At 43.5% G+C, this 12,898-nt stretch overlaps 1 protein-coding gene and 1 long non-coding RNA gene across 2 annotated transcripts in view; one reads left to right on the top strand and one right to left on the bottom strand.

Moving 5' to 3' along the window:
- Nucleotides 1-12,898, top strand: part of SPATA13 (spermatogenesis associated 13) — a 327,268-nt gene that overhangs the window by 67,649 nt on the left and 246,721 nt on the right. The gene's annotated exons all lie outside the window — the stretch shown is intronic.
- On the bottom strand, nt 4,736-6,105 carry LOC124903136 (uncharacterized). The gene is made up of 2 exons (XR_007063723.1): nt 6,058-6,105; nt 4,736-4,922 (listed from the first exon to the last, which is right to left on the bottom strand). It is a non-coding gene; the product is annotated as an uncharacterized LOC124903136 (long non-coding RNA).

Here is a 12,898-nt window from a genome sequence, read left to right on the forward strand (position 1 = left end):
GGAGTTAGTTTCAGGAAGGGACTGTTACCGTCTTTGTTTTAAAGTTAACAAAGGCAATTAGCTTGTGAGAATAGAAGCAAGATGGAATTAGTTAGGTTAAATTTCTCTTACTGTTACAAATTTTGCAAAGGCAGTTTCATCAGCTTTAGTAAATCCTATTAGTTTTCCAAAGTGGCTGTGCCAATTTATACTCCCAATATAGTGTGGGAGTTCTTCTTTATCATTATCAATCCTTAGTATTTTATCTCTTTTTCATGTTGGCTTTTTCACTTGTATCAGCAAGGGCTCTCCAGAGAAACGGAACCAATAGAATCTGTATAGATATATGGAAAGAGACTTATGATGAGGGACTCACCCACGTGATCATGGAGGCTGAGAAGCACAGGATCTGCTGTCTGTAACCTGGAGATGTGGGAGAGCTGGTGTAGTTCCTGTCTAAACCCAAAGGCCTGAGAAACAGGGAAGCCAGTGGTATAGGTCCTGGTCCAAGCCCAAAGGCCCAAGAACCAGGTGCGTCAATGTCTGACATCCCAGGGTAGGAGACAGATGTCCTTTTTGCCAAGGTCACTCTCCCTGATGCCTTTCTGTTCTATTCCTACCCTCAAAGGATTGGCCAACGCCTCCCACATTAGGGAGAGTGAGTCTTTACTCAGCCAGGTGATTCAAATGCTAATCTCTCCCAGAAATACCCTCAACACACCCCAGAAATAATATTTTACCTGCCACCTGGGTATCACTCAGCCCAGTCAAGTGGACACATAAAATTCACTATCACACATTATGGTGTAGTGTTGTCTCACTATGCTTTTAATTTGCATTTCCCAGATGACTGTTGCATTTTTAGCATTACGTTATATTGTTTAGAAAATAAGATACAATATAATATACAAAGCAACATGTAACTAAACATATAAAGCAAAAGCTAATAAAAATATATAAACAGAACTTGGTAAAGCACAAATATAATGAATGATTTTAAATATTTTCATTTAATAATTTAGTAGATCTAGTAAACTAATCAAGGATGAAGAGGATCTTACATTCATAATTTCGTGTAATAATACATATAAAATTTACATCCTACAAATATGGAATATATAACTTTCTCTTATTTTTTTCTCCTTTGTACTTTATAAAATTTCTAAAATTCAGTTAGGTTCTTGATGATGAAAACATTTCAGATAGTTCAGGAAAGTAGAGATTTTAGAGTCATCAGTCTCTGATCAAAATTAAAAAAAAGATAAATAAATTGTATAAAGACCCAAGCTGAACCGTTTAATATCAGAGTGCACTCTCATAAAGTGTCCCTAAAGCAAAGGAGAAGTCAAGGCTGAAATTCCAAGTTAAAGAAATAGTAATTCAAACTAGAAGACCTTGTAGCAAATTTATCGCATCCAGGAAAAGTTGTATTTAGAGGAAATAGCTTCAGATAACTTCTTTATTATAGAAGAAAATTAAAACTACAAGTTAGAATTCATGTTAGGAAACTCAAAGAAAAAAATGACAAAACAAAACAAAAGGACCTATGAAAAGGAAATTAATTGGGATAGGAACTGATATTAATGAAGTAGACACAGGGGCTACCAAATGGTTACTTAAATTCAGGATTAAGGTTAAAAAGATAAGAAATGTCTAAAGTCTTCTAACCCTGGACATGATGAGGAGCCTAGAACAAGTGTATTGATTCTCCAGTTGTTTTATCTCCTTTGCTGTAAAATATGAACAACAGCAGCAGTAACAACAGCAATACCGTTGTGCCCAGCATGACAACATTTTAGTCACTGATGCCTCGCCTACAGGACAGCAGCCCCATGACATTATAATACCACATTTCTATGCCTTTTCTACATTTGGGTGTGTTTAGATGCACGAATACTTACCATTGTGTTACAGCTGCCTACAGTACTCAGTACAGTAACGTGTGCAGGTTTGTTGCCTGGGAGCAATAGGCTACAACGTGCAGCCTCGCTGTTTGGTGGGCTACATTATCTAGGTTTGTGTGAGTACGCTCCGTGTTGTTCACACAGCAACAACATCGCCTACATTTCTCAGAATGTAGCCCCATTAGTAAGAAATGCATGACTAGACCTAAGAAGGTGTTGGTGGTCACAGTAACGTTTAAAATGTAACATGCTGTAATGCAACTTAAGCAGTACATGCAATATCTAGGAGGCCTGTATAGGGAGTCTGTAATATACATGCAATGATACCAACCTCAGGCTACTAAAAACACGAAACTGATGGGCTGTGAAGGGAGTGGATGATCTGTTTGTCAGCAAGGCATGTGCACCACATGTGTAAATATCCTGAAGAAAGTACCTCAAGTGTCTGTCATGCAGCCAACAGACAGTATCTGCAGGGCCCTTTACAAACCAGGAAGAGGGAAATCGGATTCTTTCCATTTGCAGACATTTTCAGACTCGTTCTTTCTTTCTTTTTTGAGACAGAGTCTTGCTCTGTCGCCCAGGCTGGAGTGCAGTAGCACAATCTCAGCTCACTGCACCCTCTGCCTCCCCGGTTCAAGCAATTCTCCTGCCTCAGCCTCTCAAGTAGCTGGGATTACAGGTGCCCACCACCACGCCCAGCTAATTTTTGTATTTTTAGTAGAGATAGGGTTTCACTGTGTGGCCAGGCTGGTCTCGAACTCCTGACCTTGTGATCCACCCACCTTGGCCTCCCAAAGTGCTGGGATTACAAGTGTGAGCCACCATGCCAGGCCTTTCAGATTCTTTCTGAACCATCTGGGGAAGTCACAGTATTGATAATGGCCATGAATTTATGAGAAACTGTTAAGTATAATAGATATTAAAAAATAGAAAGTTGATTTTTAGTTGGTAACAAAAGACTAAAATCTTTAATGCACTCTAGTTCCTTGAAATCTGATAATGCTGACGAGTCAGTTTCCGGAGCCAAATTTCCCCGCTTGACTCATCCTCACAAGAAATCAGATATCCTTGTTATAAGAGGAGAGCATCAACACAAAACAAAAACAGCACGGATGGGCTGCCTCATGCTGTATAGGATTCGAGACCCAGGAGCCATAGCTTAGGGGCCACTGTCCCTGGTCAGGCACACAGACAGGAAAGGAGGAGGGACCCAGCTGGCATGTGGCTGGAGCAGCACCCAGGACACAGCATGGCAGCTGGCCAGGTCTCAGCCCTGGACAAGAATCCACAAGAGGCGAAGGCATTTTCTGTGCTGTGCCTCAGCCAGAAGTTCCAATGCAGGGATGTGGAGGCATTTTCTAAAACTTGCCTTTGTCTTGCTCCAAGTGCAGGCACCATGCATAATGCTGACGAGCATGGTCTGTGACTCCCGCGCTGGCAGGACTTTATGGCCAAGGTGCCTCATGCCACCCACCACGTGTGGTAGTGGCAGTCATTTGTGTAACACTCAGACACCCAAATAAAGGGGCAAGCATCCTAAACTGGTGCAGCTTTACTGTCCTGGGAGGCCTTACCCACTTCTCAAAAGAATGTGCTATTTGCTGACTTCAGTACTAAAATATCTGAGTTGTGTTACCTGAGGGTTTTCCAGCTGTTTTTGCAGGTGAGTGTACTGTGAGCTAAGCAGGCTATAGACCCATATCTGCCATCCACCAGCTGGGTAGCTGTGGGAGCACCTCTTTCCTTCTCCGGATTTCCCCCACCTTTTATGAATGTCACTGAGCAAATGAACTCCAAGTGAGCACTGCTGGGGCTAGCCTCCTGAAGTTTTTGGAGACCCTAGTTCTGCTCCCCAGTCTCCACGCAGCACATACCTTGTTGCAGTGGCCACCTGACCTTCCAAGAGGACATGAACAGCAGGAAGTGATTTCCAATCACGTTGGACATGCTGTGCCTGCAGCCGGCAGGACTTCCTGGTCCTGGCATTTCAGGTGAATGACCCTTGTCTGGGGTTGAAGATGAATCTTCCCCAGGTCCTCTTAAGGACTGCCTGGCATCCCTCCCTATCTCCTTTCAGCCACACCAGGTACAGCCTGCCAGGCTCTCGCCTCCAGTTTCACACATCCTTGCACCTGCCTGGGCGATGGCACTTGGGACATACTCATGCACACCCAACCCTTAGGGGAGGAGATTATGCCCAGTGGGTGGTCCATAGAAGGAAGCCAGGGAGTAAATGCTTCCTCCGTCTCCCTGCTGGTCTAGTAGAGTGGAGCCAGCGGAGACAATGCTCCCTGTTTGGGGATGGAGGGGTGGGGACTTAGGGGCAAGGGGAAGCTGAGAAGAGATTACACAGAGGAGATGATATGAGGCGAATCTTCAGAGGTGGGAGCTTTAGGGGGGAAGTGGTAGCGATTGGAGTCAGAGGCAGCAGTGCTATCAAAAGTCTAGGCTGCAAGAGCCTGCTAAGAGTTATGTTCTCCAGGGCAGGGCAGAGGGAGATGCCCAAGGGACAGAGGAGGCAGTGGCCGCCAGCCTGGGGTCCTAGGAGTTCCCCGGCACCTGTTCCTCCTCCTCAGCCCCGGCCCACCCCTGCAGCTCCTCACCAGGTTCAGACGTCCTGGCTCTGGTCCTCCCACCTCATCTGTGCACCTTGCCAGTCCTTTGGCTTCCTCTGCGTGCACTGAAGCCCTACCAGCTGGTGAGGAGTCCCTGTGTTTGGACGCAGGGTTTGGCTTCTTACACCAGCATCCTGTGCTGTGTCCAGGCTCCTCGGGTCTCTGTGCTTAACGCAATTCCAAATGGAAGAAAGGGAGGAGGAAGCACGGTTCTCAAGAATCGCAGGCCTCGGGCACAATTTGAGCTCCAAGTCTTTATTTCTTGGTTATCACTAAGAATCAGTTGCATATTAGAATTCTGAATAGGCCTGGTGCAGTGGCTCAGGATTATAATCCCAGCAATTTGAGAGGCTGAGGCCAGAGGATTGCTTGAGGCCAGGAGTTTGAGGTCAGGCTGAGCAGCGTTAACGAGATCCCATCGCTACAAACAAGAACAACAACAACAAACTATTATTTAAAAAATAAAAATAAATTTTAGAAAATTCAGAATGACCAACACTTTCATTCAGGGTTCTAACTATTGATAAAAAGAAATATATGTTTTTTTTTTTCTTTTAAACCCATGATGTGAGACATTAATGTTCTGGGCAGTTGTGAGGAATCTCCACCACAGCACCTCTCCTCACCCTCCCGTTTCCAGATGAAAGCCAGGCTGTGGATACTGGCCTGGTGACAAGAGAACATGGAAAATGGAAAGGATGTGAGTTTAAGGACTCTTTGGACACAGTAGAGTGTGTCTAAATTTCTCAATAAAAGGCATATTTTATAAACAGAATATAAATATTCAGCATCCTGGCCTTGGACCCACGACTGCGTTCCTGTGGCGGGAGGCAGCCAGCAGCTCAGGGGCCCGTGCAGCACTTCCCCCTGCCGCCAGGGGATCCTCCCCGCCACTGTGCCCTGCCCACCACATTATTTATACTACATGTCTCATGCTTTCTGTGGAAAATTGTTTCACTTAGCTTCCTGCAGGGATATTTTGGGACTGGGAACCTTGGCTTTTGATTTTTCCTTTCTCTACCTTGCATAACAGCTCTAATTCCCAATTCTCTTGGATTTTCTCTTCTCTCCTGCTGCTCTTTGGGCTGAAAAATAGGAATTCTCTTTTATTGTTTTGTTTCAATTTTCTGAGACCTATCCGTACCTAGAACACAAACTTGTTTTTCTCCGTGACATTCTTGTTTTAGATATAAAGCATCAAGTATCTGAGCAGCAAGAACATTTTTGTGTACTTGCATTTTATAATCGTGGAATTCAGGAAAGGTCTTGCAGGAGGTAAGTTAGCATAGAGTTTCAGAGCTAGGATTCGGCCTCAGTGCTGTGATCCACAAAGGAATGTGTAATAGAATTCGGAAAATCACTGCATTTGATGCAAATATCTAGTGAACTCTAGGCCGCTAAAACTTCTCAACCACTCATTCCATGGCTGATTCACGTGGAGTTCCTGCATAACAAAATTCGGGTAGAAATGATCTACGAGAAGTAAGTACCAACACCTCCTATTGGAGATGTGAAATTGAGCAAGCCGTTCTTACCTGGGATCTCAGCTTTCTTACCTGGCTAGAAGTGGGGAGGTTGAATGCACTTGGTATCTAAGCACCCTTATAGACTTCCCTTGCCACCTGGGCCCACGGTGGGAGTATTTTTCTCTATGGCCACTAGATGTCCCAGGAGCACCCACTTTGGGGCTGAGCTGTCTAAGACACCTGGGGCTCCATCCTGTCGTCCTTGGAATCTGCTGACGTGAGGAAGGCAATGTTTGGGTTTCACTTCTGTATGATTTTGGGGCTGCTGTCTCAGCCACTGAGACTCAGACAAGAATTTTAAGACACCAAAACAACCCCTTAGTTTTCTTGATGGCTGTTTGAAACCAACAGAACCATTCACATTTTCAGGAATGGATTCTTGTTAATGCCATGAAGTAGGAATTCACAAGGGATTTTCCAAACATTAGTGAACTCACAAAGGAAGTGTTATTATGGGGTGTCTATGTGCTTGAGGCATAGAGAGTCTGTAAAAATGAGAGAGCCACAGCTGCCTCTGTGTCGTTGGGGTGACGGAGGCTCCTGGACAGCTCTGCCCTGCGGGGACACTCTGAAGAACAGGCACCCTGTGCTCAGGGCCACCGTGAACCATGGAGAGGGCAGCATGGAGGAGGAGGTGAAGAAGCCCACAAAGAGGAGTCAGGTCAAGGACACCATGAGAGATCCCTCGTCTGCCACTTCCAAGGCCAGAAGCCCGGAGTTCCCATCACACCCCACAGCAACTATGCAGTGTGAGACCACTGGTTCATTTAGCCAGGAAAAGGGAAGAAATCTTTCAGGGTGGATTTAAAGAGAACTGCAAATCCATCTGCAGCCATCTTAGATAGATGAATGTGAAGTTTAACGAAATTAGCTCTGTCCAAGTATCCAAGTGGGAGATTTCCAAGAAGCCATCACTAAGGCTACTACTGGCAGTGGCAGTGGTGGCATTAGAAATAGCAGCATGCCCAGAGATAACTTTCCAATTTAGTGTTAGGGGAAATTGTATGACACTGCAAGGACCATATTGTAAGCTTAGCTGTCTAATGTGCAAACCAGATACGCATTTTTAGTTTAAATTAACTTTGACATGTAGCAGCAATTCATAGTTACCCCCAAAACACAAACTCTAAGAACTTTTAAAATGCATTTAATAGAACTCTAAAGAGTACAGAAGAGAAAATATGTGAAATATAATAATAGTAGCGCACCGTTAATTTATGATGGTTCTTAACCAGTGTGTACAGGTTTAATACTACCTCACAGGAGAAAAGGTTAAGGAGGATATGCATTTTTCACTTGTATATAAAATGGAGAATATTCATTTTTTAAACTGGAAAAATGAATTCAGTCACTTATGAAGTGTAACCTCTTCTAAAAAAAAATTGTGTGACAGATCATACAATAACAGCGCTCACTTCTTGTGATCATATGTCCCAGCATTTAAACATTAAGTCAATTTAGCTAGCTACCTTTCAGAAGCTGGTTATTATGACTATTATTTTACACTCATAATTCAATTTTTATAAACAATATAATGCCAGCTGCTGTAATTCAAACTTTATATGCCAATGTTGTGCCCTGTCATATTTTACATTCTGAGCAAGCCTACAGCCTCCAGCAGCCTGAAGGTTGTACGCTTTACATATATGGCACAGAGCGATCAGCCTGCAATTCATGTGCATATTTGTTACAAAGCATGTGTCTTTGTGAAAATCTTATACACTTAAATGACATCAGTTTCTATCTTGTTGTTGTTCTTAAATTGCTTCCCCAGTCCTCTCCTTCTCCTTCAGTGTTATAGATGTTATGTATTCATCCTTTCATTGCGGGTACAGTGCATCGTGTAAGATCCCAGATGCAATCAGCATGCCTGGGTTCAAATCTCGACCTTGTCCTTTTCTATCTGTGTTTTCTTAGGCAAATATCTTAATTTCTGTCTGCCTAGGGAGATGGAGGATGGTAACAGGACCTACCTTACTGAACTGGTAGGGAGAGTAAATGAGTTAAAACATGCAGAGGTCTTAGAACAGTGCCCGAAGCACCTTTAGTAACCATGCATTCACTGAGAAACCATGTTTTGTGTGTTGCTCTACCAGGCACAGTGCTAGGCTGCAGGGATTCTGGGATGGTGGCAGGAAACAGAAGTATTCGAGAACAAGGGTTCCAATACCAGCTCTCAGGTGCTGTGGGACTTTACTCGCCAGGTGCCTTTGGCTAAGCCACCCACTTTCCTAGGTCCTCAGTGTTCTCCTTGACCAATAATAAAGATGGAATAGACAATCTCAAAATTACTTTCCAACTCTGAATATTCTTGGATGTCCTAATTCTAAGCCAAGTGGGCTCTGTGGAAATCTGCTCTCATTGGCCGAGGAGTCCAATCCACCACCGCACGGGTCCAGAATAAAGTGACCACGCTACATTAGACAAATGGCGTTGGCAATGCCGTGCCTTTTTATGGAAAGTGGTTTTGGATGTTTGTGATGCAAGGAGACATGAGGATATTCCATATTAGCATCAGTGGTTCAAGTGACTTGGAGAGTATGTTAACAACAGGCTTTATGGATGGAAGGAGCCAACACATTTCTCCATGAAAAGTCCTCTAAAATGGTAGAGCTCATGGTTATGATAGAAAGATGGGATGAAGGGCACCCCTCAGAATTTCACAGATGTTGAAACAGTTGAATAGAGGAAGTGAGTCAGTTTGTATCAAATGAATAAATAGGAAAAGTTAAAACTAGAAGTGATGAAGGAATAGAACAAAGTGTCCAGAACAGCCTCAGTGAATATCTACTATATGTCCACCTTCAAGTGCATTAGGACCCATTTAGAGATGCTTTGGAAGTTTTGGAAAGGGGTGGACAGGCAAAGGTTACACATCTGGTTAACCACGTAGATCTGCATTTCGGCTTTTCAAGTAGCAAAAGGATAAACTTACCTTTAGGCTTGTTATTCCATTTCCATACAAGACATATGATGGATTAGATGCTCACCTTACATGCTCCCATGGACCTCTGTCCTTCTGTCCTAAGTGTCACTGTTAATTATATGTTTGACTGTTTCTTCTCTTCTGCAATGTAAATTCCATGTTGTGTGAATTGCCTACTGCTGCACCCACAGAGCCCAGCACAGTGTCTAGCACATAGGAGGGAATATATATGCATGGATATATGTTGAGTGAATGGAAGGGATGGCTTCTTCGGATGGCCCTGCCTTCTTAGCTGTGAATACATGATACATAGAAGGCTGTCTCTTTTGGTGGCTTTGTTTTTTGGGAGAGGAATGAAGAAAAGACAAGTACGTTGCTGTGCGTGTCTGATAAGATTTCCAAGCTGATCGGGCCACAGGTCCAATTCTGCCCCTCACATCGTCCTGCACATAAAAAGGGAGTGGCCTTCCTTATCCTTGACAGGGCAAGGGGAAATGGAACTTCTTTTTTTTTTTTTTTCAATGAATGGAGATTTATTAGGCCAGCTTTAGGGCGTTTCTGGGAAAAACTCGAGCCACAGACACATCTGTGGCTGTTTTCTTTCTCTCTCTCTCTCTCTCTCTCTCTCTTTCTTTCATAGCGTCTGGCTCTTTCTTTTTTTTTTTTCTTTTTTTAAAAAATTTTATTATTATTACACTTTAAGTTTTAGGGTACATGTGCACAATGTGCAGGTTTGTTACATATGTATACATGTGCCATGCTGGTGCGCTGCACCCACTAACTCGCCATTTAACATTAAGTATATCTCCTAAAGCTATCCCTCCCCCCTCCCCCCAACCCCACAACAGTCCCCGGAGTGTGATGTTGGGAAATGGAACTTCTTAATCTCGGCCACTTCTCGGCCTGTGGCGCTTTGCACTCCCACTGCAGCTGTCGGTCCTCTTGACAAAGTCCTGAATTTTCCCCCTCTATCTGCAGAGGGGTCTCTTCAGTTCACTTCTAGTGAGGTGGTTTTCTGATGCTATTAAATGGAGCCCCTCAGGGAAGCCAGTGTTGACAGGGCATTTTCTGAGTCCTGTGACTGCATCCATATGGGACTGGGTGATGTGGGATGTTCTGCATGAATGTCTTATGACCAAAGGCACTGAAAGGACTGGTGCAGGGCTGGGAATTTGATTTACCTTGTTGGGGCATAAACTCTACTTCTTTGTTTTCTCTCCACCCTACCCCTATCCCCAACCTCCAACCGTCATAAGAAATGTTACTTCCTGAAGACGGGCAAGCCTGGCCTTTTGGAATTGCCACACCGTATATATGTGTGATCTTTTCTCTGGTCTCTGAGCACCTTGACCCTAAACCAACACTGCAGTCAGGTGGGAGGGGAGGTACAGAGCCCAGCCTTCCCCTTGGAGGTCCAGGGAGGACTAGTGAGAGGAGGTCAGGCTAAGAGAGACTCCAGATTCCCCTCCTCTCTTTTGATTTCAGCAGCTGGTGTGGAAACTCCTCCCCACGCTGCCCTAACTCCACGTTATTATATCTTCACTCCAAGGATGCTGTGGCAGTGGACCATGGGATGCAGAAAGGAGATGTTCATGGCCAAATTCAAGCCTGGCAGTGTCATTCCTGCTTAATACACCCAACGCAAGATGAGCTCCCATCTGGCCATGCTGTGGCCCCACACCTGATCCCACATTGGAGTGTTATGTCTTTGTATTTATTTACCTTTACATAATTATGAGGCTACATAAATTTAGTTATTGCTGGCCATGAAACCAAACCCAGAAAGCTTACATAGGATGACGTCTTTTGATCGTAAGTGGAAGGAAGGATTCTAGTGTTGAAAACTCTCTACGTGATATTGTTATCTGGGTATCAGATTAGATTAACAATGGTAATAGAAAACTCACTCACCTGATTCAGTCACTGTTTAAACCCCCTTAATTATATCAACTCATTTAATGCTCACCGTAATCCCTTCAGCAGGGAATTCTGATATCTCCATTTTATGACTGAGAAAATTGAGGCAAAATGGAAAAGCTTTAGAGTTTTTGCCTTGGGTGATTACTGTATACGGGACAAAGGAACAGCTCACACATGTGAGACTCATCTGTATGTCATAGGGCTACACATTACTTAGAATAATTGATTACCTGATTGGAGATTCTAGCAGAGGAAATTACTAACTTCATAACTTTCTTGGTGTGAAACTCATGGCTTCAAAACGGTCTACATAATTATGAAATTCAGATAATTTATTAGTTGCTTATTTTTAAGTTTGATAAAACTTGACAGATCAGTGAATAATCGCTAACTATTGGAGGCATTATCTAATTGTTCTTTCTTATGATTTATGTTGGGAGCTATAGATTCACTGGTTAACCTGTCAGGTAGCAAGATTTATGTTTACACAAACTTTCCAGAGTGTCTTCAACCCCACGGAAGTTGTCTTTGAACATCACCTTTCTTGGACAGCTGTGCATTTGTTTACCCCAGTAATGATGCCAACTCTGTCTCATGTAGACCTGTAAGCTCCAGGACAAGAGCCATGGTCTGTGTATTGTTTTTTGTTTTGTTTTGTTTTGTTTTGAGACGGAGTCTTGCTCTGTCACCCAGGCTGGAGTGCAGTGGCGGAATCTCCACTCACTACAAGCTCTGCCTCCTGGGTTTACGCCATTCTCCTGCCTCAGCCTTCCGAGTAGCTGGGACTACAGTCGCCCACCACCATGTCCTGCTAATTTTTTGTATTTTTAGTAGAGACGGGGTTTCACCGTGTTAGCCAGGATGGTCTCGATCTCCTGACCTCGTAATCCACCCCCCTCGGCCTCCTAAAGTGCTGGGATTACAGGTGTGGCCCACTGCATCCGGCCTGGCCTGTGTACTGTTGTAACCTCACCACCCAGCACAACTCTTGGGACTTGGTGAATGTCACAAAAAAAAAAGGCTTGTCTTTGATCTCTCAGAAGATTGTTCTCAGTACTAATGTAGAGGGAGTGCCTTGTGTTTTCCACTTGATTTCCAGTCTCACTGGCTACACTTGAATCCAAATAGGCTTTGGCTGTATTGAAAAGACAGAGATTTGGCACTGCCAAGTCACTTACACTAACGCTTTTGTTTCTGAGGTGGAATCCCCAAAGGAGGAAGACAAAAACAAAACATTTTGGAGAGGCTATTATATGCTGAGGACAGATACTTTCATTTCCATTATCTCATTTAATCCTGTCATTAGTGCTTTCAAGTAAGTATAAGTGTGTCCATTTTATAATTGAAAAACCTAGTGATTCTTGCACACTGATTTTGTATGCTGGAACTTTGCTGAAGTTGTTTACCAGGTGAAGAGCTTTGGGCCTGAGACTATGGCGTTTCCTGGATAAGATCATGTCGTCTGCATACAGAGATAGTTTAACTTCCTCTTTTCCTATTTGGATGCCTTCATTTTCTTCTCTTGCCTGACTGCTCTGACCAGGACTTCTAATACTATGTTGAATAGGAGTGGTAAGAGGGGCATCCTTGTCTTGTGCCAGTTTTCAAGGGGAATGCTTCCAGCTTTTGTCTTTTCAGTATTATGTTGGCTGTGGTTTTGTTGTATATGGCTCTTTTATTTTGAGGTATGTTCCTTCAATACCTGGTTTATTGAGAAGTTCCAATGACATTCTTCACTGAACTAGAAAAAACTATTTCAAAATTCATGTGGAATCAAAATGAGCCCAAATAGCCAAGGCAATCCTAAGCAAAAAGGACAAAGCTGGAGGCATCATATTACCTGACTTAAAACTATACTACATTTTTTGGCTAGAGTAACCAAAACAGCATGGTACTGGTACAAAAACAGGCACACAGGCCAGTGGAACAGAATAGAGAGCCCAGAAATACTTACAACCTGCACACTTACTATCTGATCTTTGACAAAGCTGACAGAAACAAGCAATGGGAAAGAATTCTCTATTC

Source organism: Homo sapiens, chromosome 13 (assembly GCF_000001405.40).
Source record: "Homo sapiens chromosome 13, GRCh38.p14 Primary Assembly".
Taxonomy (NCBI): domain Eukaryota; kingdom Metazoa; phylum Chordata; class Mammalia; order Primates; family Hominidae; genus Homo; species Homo sapiens.